Source organism: Homo sapiens, chromosome 1 (genome assembly GCF_000001405.40).
Source record: "Homo sapiens chromosome 1, GRCh38.p14 Primary Assembly".
Taxonomy (NCBI): domain Eukaryota; kingdom Metazoa; phylum Chordata; class Mammalia; order Primates; family Hominidae; genus Homo; species Homo sapiens.
The window spans coordinates 11,339,131-11,349,363 of NC_000001.11; the positions used below are offsets into that span (position 1 = coordinate 11,339,131).

The window sequence follows — 10,233 nt, forward strand, 5'->3', positions numbered from 1 at the left end:
CACCTGTAATCCCAGCTACTCAGGAGGCTGAGGCAGGAGAATCACTTGAACCTGAGAGGTGGAGGTTGCAGTGAGCCGAGACTGAGCCACTACACTCCAGCCTGGGTGAGAGGGAGAGACTGTCTCAAAAAAAAAAAAAAAAGAAACTAAGGTCAATCGCCAATGAACAATGAGACAGCGTGGGGGTGAGACGGGAGGACACACCGGGAGGGGCGCAAGAAATGCCAGAGGCAGGAGACAGATGGGTCCAAGGGCCAGAGAGCCTGCTCCAGTGGCTCCTCGGAGTGAGATGGGTCAGAGAGGGAGGCAGGAGACCAGAAAATACCAAGGAAGAAAAATCTAAGGTAAGGGAGACCAAGAAAGAAAGAAGAAGGAGTCAGACGTGCAGCTGCAGGGACAAAGACACATAAACCGGGGGTGAGAGAGACAGAGTGAGAGTTGCCTCCAGCTGGGGCTGGGTGGGGAACTTAGTTCCCACCAGGGTTGTGGACTTGGGAGCTTGCTTGCGGGGAGGAGGGCTAATTGGCGATTTCATCCAGGTCCTCCAGAACGTCTGCAGAAAAACAAACCCGCTAAACATCTCTCACCGTCTGTCATCTTCATTTTGCTTTTGTCTTCAGAATAAAGAGAATCTGAAACTCCCTAGGAGAAGCGGCTCCAGCGGCTCTCAGGCTGTCTCCCGTTCTGCTCCTTCTTCATGCTTTTCTGGTTGGAGTCTTTGTTCCGCAGCTTCTTGCCCTGGTTCAGGCTGGCGGCTGCTCTGACCCGGCGTGCTGGGGTCTCCATCCCCATCTCTGTCACACTGTGGTCTGGAGTGTCTGGGTCTCTTGCTCCCCTCCCCCTCCCCCCAGGCTCAGCCTGAGCCACCCCACCCCCCTTGGCCCGCGTGGCCGCTGCTGATCCTTGCTACTCCCAGCTGTCTCCGTGGCTCAGCCTGCAGATTGACAGGGCCCATAAATCACCGTGGCAAGGCAGGGCCCTGGGAAAGGAACACGGGGCCAGGTGCTGACAGGGCTGGCCTTGGGAGCTGGGGCTTTCGGCTTTCTGGTGAATCGCTGGGGCGTGGAGCCTGTGGCTTCTCTCCCAGCTAAATGGAGCATTTTGGTTGCAGTGCCTGTGTCTCCTGCCGATTTTCTCCAGCTCCCTGGAAGGTGGGACAAGAAGAAATAGGTTGAATGTGAAGCAAGTGGGATTCGGGTTAGACTGAAAAGAAGAATTTGCAGTGATGAGGCTTAACTTTGGAAAGAGGAAACACTGGGATGGGAAATGGTGAAACCCCTTGGCAAGGAGTTGGTAAAATCTGGATGGATTCTGTCTGATGATTTATAGTGCTGCCTGGAGACAGGGGAATGAAACATATGATCCACTCGACACAGAAGCCTTTGCTTTGTTTGAGGGGAGCCCGGGGGCCAGGAGAGCAAAGAAGTTACCAGTGGGGGCTTGGGGAACATGCAGCTCCCCTCCTGACCTGCTGTGTGATCCTGAGCAAGTGACTCAACCTGGCTGGTCTCTATCTGTAAAATGGGGATAGTCCCACTTCGTAGACTTACCATGAAGCTTAAAGGGCAGTGTATGCAAAGGGCTCTGCACAGTGCTTGGCACAGAGAACTTTTAATAAAGCACAGTTATAGGCCAGGCATGGTGGCTCATGCCTGTAATCCCAGCACTTTGGGAGGCCAAGTTGGGTGGATCATCTGAGGTCAGGAGTTCAAGACCAGCTTGGCCAACATGGAGAAACCCCGTCTACTAAAAATACATTAGCTGGGTATGTTGGCGCATGCCTGTAATCCCAGCTACTCGGGAGGCTGAGGCAGGAGAATCTCTTGAATCCGGGAGGTGGAGGTTGCAGTGAGCCATCATCACATCATTGCTCTCCAGCCTAGGTGACAGAGTAAGACTCTGTCTCAAAAAAAAAAAAAAAAAGCAGTTATTATTATCGGGCAAGATACTCAGCCTTTCTAAACCTCAGTATCTTAATTCATAAAATCCTAACCCTCACTTAATCATTCAACACACACCTGGAGAGCCCCAATCATGTGCCAGACCGCATCCCAGGCTCTGGGGATGTAGCAGTTCACATAGCAGACACAATTCCTATCCTTGCAGAACTAACATTCTAATTAGAGGGAAGGGAGAGAGGCAAACAAGAAACAAATAGATGTGCTATGAGAAAATAAAGCCGAATAAGGGGCATAAAGAGTGATGGCTGGTGCAGTGGCTCACGCCAGTGCTTTGGGAGTCCAAGGCAGGAGGATCGCTTGAGGCCATGAGTTTAAGACCAGCCTGGGTAACATAGTGAGATCCTGTCTCTACAAAAAATTAAAAACTTAGCTGGGCATGGTGGTGTGTGGCTGTAGTCCCAGCTACTTGGGAGGCTGAGACAGGGGGATTGCGTGAGTCCAGCAAGTCAAGGTTGCAGTGAGCCGTGATTGCACCATTGCACCCCAGCCTGGGCAACTTAGAGTGAGACTCCATCTCTTTTTAAAAAAAAGTGAGAGATAGAAGAGGCTATTTTATATAAGGTGTCCAGACAGGCTGCTCTGATAATATTTCAGCAGAAACTTTCATGAAGTGAAGGAGTGAGCTGATAGGGGATATAAGGGTGGAGCATGCAGGCAGTGGGAACAGTGATTGCAAAGGCCCTGAGGCAGGTGAGTGTGGTTGGATTGGAGCCCAGGTGGGGAGAGTGGGCGGAGAAGCCATTGAAGAGGAAACACATAGTTCATTGTAAAGGCTTATCTATTGGCCCACGCGGCGCTCTTGCAGAATTTTGCTAGTGGAGTTCACCTGCCCTGGGAGGCCCTTTGGTTCCAGCATCCTGGGTGAACTGGATCTCCTGCCACTCCTACCTGTTCAGGACCTAGAGAACAGCAAGCCCGAGGCTCCATCTCCTGTTTACCGCTGGCTGTTCTGCTCTGTTTCTGATCCATGGCATGCAGCCATGACTTTATAACTTACAAAATCCTTTATTGCCATAAGTGGAGAGGAGTTTCATGCATGCAAACTTGTCCCAACCTGGCAGCTTCATCTTCATTTTGTAAATGTTGCAATGAAACTCCAGGAGGTTCTGTGCTTGCTGGAGGCGTATGGGCCATATGGTGTGGAGGAAGGGCTGTAGTTGACCACTGCTTTATAAGCAGCTTTGTAAACGTATATATTTCAAGATGACACACACATACACACACACACCCCAGTCCCAGAGTGACACAATCATAGGGCCATTGCCAGAGCAATCATGAGTACTGAAAAAGTGAACACATGGCCTCTGCACACCAGGTCCCAGGCCGCAGCTGTGGCAGACATCCCTAATCAATCACAGGACTCCTTCGTGCTGAGCCCAGATGCAACCTCAGAATCCTGGAAAGCCCATATGGGGTTGATTTATAAAAGGAAGCATTGGCCATTTTTGCTGCAGGGGCAAGCTGTCCTGGGGGGCCTTTCCTGGGGGATAGGGAACAGCATTGGCCTAATCTCGGGTCTTGGAACCCTGTTCTTGAACCCTTGGCAGCATTCTCTGCCGGATTTATAAAGTGACTGCAGCTCTGGAACATGAGACAAAATTAGTGCAGCCTCAGAGAGCGCTGTCTCGAAATTGGCTTTCCAGCGAGCGGCTGGGTCTCCTACTCTCCCCACAGGTGGGGCTGTTTGAGTCCCTGGTAGGATTTGTTCCAGCTGCCAGACATGGATTAGGCTTTTGACTGTTGAACCCAGACAAGGGGACCAGCTGTTTAATGAGCTGGAGGAGGAAGTGGCTCCTGAAAGCAAGTCCTTTTCTTGGCTCAGGCATGCAGATCAGACATGGAACCAGGAAAGCTGCCTCGCCAAGCTTGGTAACCAGAGGGAAATGAATGATAGTGATCTGACAGGGAAGGATAAGGACAGGGGAGAAGAGGGGAGGTGGGGAGAGGAGCAGGAGGGGAGGAGCCAGGAGGGAAATCATGGACCAGCCTTTGCCTAGACCCCAGGGCTCTGCTGCAGGCTCCACTCCTCTTGGCTTCTTTTGCTATCAGAATCATTGTGCCTTGGATCCTGGAGATCCCGAGGCATGTAGATGATCTAGGGGTAGGCTAGATACAGATTTACATTGATACCTGGAGACAGGATAACCTGGGTTCAAATTCCTGTTCCTCATTGACTTGCCTCCGTTTCCTCATCTACAAAATGGGCTTCGTGTTTCCATGAGCAGGGGCGTAATGCTCTCAGACTTCCCCACCCTGTCACATTCTGCCATTCAGCTTTTGGTAGATGTTCAAACTGCCATTTGGACCTTTATCCATGGGATTTCAGTGTCTCTCTCTTGATTGGATCTGAACTTGGTGGAGGAGGTGGTGGGTTTATTCATTAGAACCCACTGAACATTAATGGCACCCACCCACGTGTTTGATGTGACGATTAAGCAGGTGAAGGTGTTTGTAGCTGCTTGTATCCTCCATGTCTAGATATATAGCTAATCCATACCTGTGCATATCTATACCTATCAATACACACTGGGGCCCAGCACAGATCGGTGCTTAGTTTGTTTGCTTTTTGAGACAGTGTCTTGCTCTGTTGCCCAGGCTGGAGTGCAGCGGCATGATCTTGGCTCACTGCAACCTCCACCTCCCAGGTTCAAGCAATTCTCATGCCTCAGCTTCCTGAGTAGCTGGGATTGCAGGTGCCTGACACCAGGCCTGGCTTGTTTTTTTTTTTTTTTTTTTTAGTAGAGACAGGGCTTCACCATGTTGCCAGGTTGGTCTCGAACTCCTGGCCTCAAGCAATCCGCCCGCCTCAGCCTCCCAAAGTGCTGGGATTACAGGTGTAAGCCACTGCACCTGGCCAGATTGGTGCTTAGTTTAATTTCAGCTGGCGAGTCCTTCCCGTCCAGCCTCCTCCTAATGTGCCATTGTGGGGAGAGGGCAGGGAAGGTCTGAGAGCAGCCTCATGCCTTCCTGGAAGAGTGGGCCTGTCCTGGGGCCTGGAAAGCAGGGATGTGGTGGCAGCTCCCCAGGCAGCTTCCTGCTCCTCAGCTGAGATTTGGAATGAGTGATCCCCTCCCTGCGCAAACCCAGGTAGTCCTCAGGGAGGCAGGTGAGGGGAAGGTTTCAACCCCGCTTCTGCCACCAACAGCAAGGGGTGACCTGGGGGAAGTGAGTAGGTTGGGCCTGGGCTTGGGGCTCCGAGGAGATGGGTGGCAGGGCACAGCCTCCTAGAAAGTCAGGGAAGCAGGGCTAGCTCCAGTCACTGTCCCAACTGTCACCCAGTTTATGGAGAACTGCTCTGTGCCAGGCCCAGTGCTGAATAAGACACGCACGGTCCTGGCTCTCAGGCAGTTGATATTAACATGCTATCCTTCATGAAAATCATGAGAGTGCTGTCGGCCACAGTTCCGCAAAGAAGCTGTTGGGGCCACGTGCATTTCAGATTTCAAAATTGTTTTCAGATTTTATTAATGTAATGTTCCCTATATTACAGACGACTCCAACATATTCATATTTCTGTAGCGAAATACATGTGAATAGTGGGATACAGACTGTTAAGTATCTCTAAGGTCAGTTCAGTTTAGGTTTTGCTGCCAAATGAGTTTTGAAAAGCTTTTTGGTCTCAGAGCTTTGGGGATGTTGGAATGGCAGAGGAGGGATGAGGGACTGACCACTTCCCGAGCTCTGAGAAGCACTGGGCCGAGCACTTTCACTGGCTGAATACATTAAACGCTCACAACAGCCCTATGAGGTCCGTTCTATTTTTGTCATTCTGACTGTACAGAAGAGGAGATCCAGGCACAGAGAGGTTAAGTAATTCACCGAAGTTCACACAGCTAGTAAGAGGCAGAGCTTGGATTCAAACCCCTCGGGGGCCAAAGCCTGCCAAGGTCACATAGTTTACAATCCAATGTGTGGTGGGCAGGTTGGGGAGGTGGAGGGAGCACTAGCACAAAGATGGTTACAGTGCAGTGGAAGAAGTGCCAGAACTGGGGGGTCCAGGTCCCTGAAGCCCAGAGGCAGGGGCCCAACTCAGCTTAACGGTTGGGGAAGATGCCCTAGGGGAGCTGGCAGCTTCCCCAACCCCGAGGGCACCAGCCAGGTAACAGCGGGGAAGGGAAAAGTGTTTCAAGTGAAGGAAATAGCATAAACAGCAAGAACAAAGGCCTAGAGGAGAGAGAGAGCAAAATGGGGGTGCAGCCTGGAATGGGAGGCCACGGGGAAGGAGGTGGGGGCTTGGAGGGTAAGCTGGGACCAGCCTCACAGGACCTGCGGGGCCACACTGTGTCCTCCTGACTCATCTACTCCCTGACCCCTCACACCACCCCGGGGAATCCCATGATGGGAAGAGGTCAGATCTTCCTGCCTTCTGTCCAGGAAGAGGGACTGAGGAACAGGACTGTTTCCCATGCATGAGATCCTGAGTCCACAACCCCAGCCGAGCTCCCCTTCAAAGGTGGTGGGCAGGGGAGCAGGGGACTCGGAGACACACAGGGAGGGAAGGAGTATTTTTTTTTCTTTCTTTTTGAGACAGAGTCTCACTCTGTCACCCAGGCTGGAGCACAGGGGCACGATCTTGCAACCTCTGCCTCCCGGGTTCAAGCGATTCTCATGCCTCATCCTCCCAAGTAGCTGGGATTACAGCATGCACCCCCACAACTGGCTCATTTTTGTACTATTAGTGGAGACAAGCTTTCGCCATGTTGGTCAGTCTGGTCTCGAACTCCTGACCTCAAGTGATCCACCCACCTTGGGCTCCCAAAATGTTAGGATGACAGGCGTGAGCCACTGCGCTTGGCCGGGAAGGATTCTTTATCTTTGACTAGGAGTGCTTGATGAAACACCGGGGCTGGGGAAGGGGTGGGAGGATGAGAAGTGGACCAGTCCTTGCAGTGTCAGGACTCCCTCCCTGGGGGGCCATCTCCTCCCTCCCTAACAGGCTGGGTGCTTGGCTCCAGCCACTGCCAGGCGAGCAAACCCTCTGAGTGCCGAGGATGCACAAGCTGCCTCTCTCCTGGAGACGAGCCCCTGCCTGACAGATGAAATCTTTATTATGGTGATTTTTATTTGGGGGCGTGTGAGTGTGTGCACATCTGGGGCCCAGGCGGCAGCCGAAATTCCCACAAACGTGGCTCATGAATATTCCACAGTGTTGCCTACCGCACTTTGCAGCCATCGATTATTTATATGTGAAATAACGAAAGCTTCATAAATAATGGAACTGCCTGTGTCCCAGCTGCATCTCCCGCGTCCCTCTGCCTGGCCCAGGTGAGGGGATGGGCTATGCAGGGAACTGGCATCCGAGCAGGGAGTGGCCTTGACGTTCAAAAACTACTTTCTCCAGCAGAATTCACATCCTTCATAGGAAGGAGGCCTGCGTGGCGCAGGAATGTGTATGTGTGTGCACACTGTATGCACACATTGCGTGTACTCACTTTCCCACCCAGGGAGGGGCCAGAACACGCAGGGCTGGGCCGGGGGTTGCTTATACTGTAGACTCTGCAGTGTAGACTCTGTGCAGATGGGCACAGAGAAAAACCTTGTGTTAGATTACTGATGAGCTGGGAAAACAGCAGACATTTCTTTGTTCAATTCAATTTGAACCTCACCACTGTTGACTTGGAGTCGGCCAGTGTCTGATTCAGGAGAGGAAAATGGTTTTATGAAGTTCTCCCGTGTGTCACCCCTTTATTTATTTATTTATTTAGAGACAGAGTCTCACTCTGTTGCCCAGGCTGGAGTACAGTGGTGCGATCTTGGCTCACTGCAACCTCCGCCTCCTGGGTTCAAGTGATTCTCCTGCCTCAGCCTCCTGAGTAGCTGGGATTACAGGCACGCACCAACACACCTGGCTAATTTTTTATATTTTTAGTAGAGATGGGGTTTCACCGTGTTGGCCAGGCTGGTCTCGAACTCCTGACCTCGTGATCTGCCTGCCTCGGCATCCCAAACCACGCCCAGCCGAGTGTTACCCCTTTAGACGCAGAGCATGTCTTAAAGGGACAGAGAAAGCCTCCAATCAGCCTTGTCCCCCAAATCCTGCACTACACAAACTGCTTCCAAGTCTTCAGGGTAAATGTTTGGGGTTCAGGGGAGGTGAATTCATGGCAGATGAGCAGGTGTGCCCATGCAGAGTGGAAGCCTGGGATTGAAGGTGAAGACCTATGTGCCCAATTCCTCACCACCCCCCAGACATTTGACAATAGCTTCTTCCTCTGAGCAACTTCCATTTCTCAGTCTTCTCACCTCCATCGTCTCCAGTCTGTACAACCACCTTTAAAGCAGGTGCAATTAAAATACCACTTTGCAGAGACGGTTAGTGCAGTTAATAATTTGTCCAAAGTTGCAGAGCTTGATAAGTAGGAGAGCCTGAGCCTGTCCAGTTTTCCCCTTTCCACTGTTTTCTTCCTTCCTCCCTCCCTCCTTCTCTCTCTCCCTCCTTCTCTCCCTCCCTTTCTCTCCCTTTCTCCTTCCTTCCTTCTTTCCTTCCTTCCTTCTATCCTTCCTTCCTTCCTTCCCTCCCTCCCTTTCTCTCTCTTTCTCCTTCCTTCCTTCCTTCTTTCCTTCCTTCCCTCCCTGCCTCTCCCTCCCTCCCCCCCTCCCTCCCTCCCTCCCTTCCTTCCTTCCTCTCTTTCTCTCTTTCTTTCTTTCTCAGACAACTCTCACTCTGTCACCCAGGCTGGAGTGCAGTGGCGCAATGTTGGCTCCCTGCAACCTCTACGTCCCAGGTTCAAGCAATTCTTGTGCTTCAGCTTCCCGAGTAGCTGGGACTACAGATGTGTGTCACCATGCCCAGCTAATTTTTGTATTTTTAGTAGAGATGGGTTTTCACCATGTTGGCCAGGTTGGTCTCAAACTCTTGACCTCAAGTGATCCACCTGCCTCGGCCTCCTAAATTGCAGGGATTACAGGTGTGAGCCACTGCTCCCGGCCCACTGTTTTCCAATTAAGGCCTTGCCTATTGTCTGGCCAGCACTGGACCAGGGCAAGGACATCTATATCCTCAAGCAGTGCACATTTTCTCTGTGACTGCTGAAAGGGGGAAGTGTGTGGACTATACATTGATTGGGACATTGAATTATTTGTATGAAGTACAAGTTGGGTAAAATACAAAAACTAAGTGTGACGAATGTTCTTATCCCTGGTTGAATCACTAGGGGAGCTTTTTGAAAAATGGTTTTGAATTAAACTTTATTTTGAGATAATTATAGATACACATACAATTGTAGAAAATAATACAGACAGATCCCATGTACCCTTTACCCAGCTTTTCCCAATGTTAACAGTGTGCAAAACTGTAGTATAATATTATGCCAGTAAGCAGACGTTAATATAATGCACTATGCTGGGCGCAGTGGCTCATGCCTGTAGTCCCAGCACTTTGGGAGGCCAAGGCGGACAGATTGCTTGTAGGCCAGGAGTTCTGGACCAGACTGGGCAACATGGTGAAGCCCCGTCTCTACAAAAATAATAAAAATTAGCCAGATGTGGTGGCTGTAGTCCCAGCTACTAGGGAGGCTAAAGTGGGAGGATCACTTGAGCCTGGGAGGTCAATTCTGCAGTGAGCTGAGATCATATCACTGCATTCCAGCTTGGACGCCAGAGTGAGACTCTCTATGTATGTATGTATGTATGTATGTATGTATGTATCTGTCTAGCTATCTATCTATCTCTATGTATCTATGTATCTAAAATCCACTGATCTTATTCAGATATCAGCAGTTTCCTATCATGCTAATTTGTGTGTTTATGCATTTTGATTACATGTGTAGGTTTGTGTATCAAGATACAGAGAAGACCCACTGGCATGAGGGCCTCTTATGTTGCCCTTTTATAACCATATCCACCTACTCCCCCTCCCCCTCTCTACCCCAACCCCATCCCTGACCCTTGGCAACCATTCATCTGTTCTCTCTATAATTTTGTCATTTTGAGAATGTTCTATAAACGGAGTCATACAGCATGTAACCTTTCAAGATTGGCTTTTTTTTTTCACTCACTCAGCATCGTTCCCTTAAAATTCATCCTAATTGGAATGTGTATCAATAGTTTGTTCCTTTGTATTGTTGGGTAGTATTCTACGGTATGGGTGCAACACAGTTTAACTCATTGAAGGATAACTGGGTCATTTTCAGTTTTGACTGTTACAAATAAAGCTGCTGCTGGGGTGCTTTTAAAACACTCAGACTGGAGGATCTGACTCAAACAAGAGTGGGTCGAGGGTAAGCCCTGGAAATGTATAAAAGTTTGTGCCGTCACTGACCAGGGTAAGGCA

The 10,233-nt window shown here is 50.5% G+C and overlaps 1 annotated feature.

Annotated features, from left to right (window-relative positions):
* Window positions 4,475-4,975: an enhancer, noted in NCBI's record as "H3K4me1 hESC enhancer chr1:11403662-11404162 (GRCh37/hg19 assembly coordinates)". NCBI's record gives its function as "activates a minimal SCP1, AML or CMV promoter by ChIP-STARR-seq in naive H9 embryonic stem cells {active_cell/tissue: H9 hESC(naive)}" and the evidence as "EXISTENCE:reporter gene assay evidence [ECO:0000049][PMID:30033119]".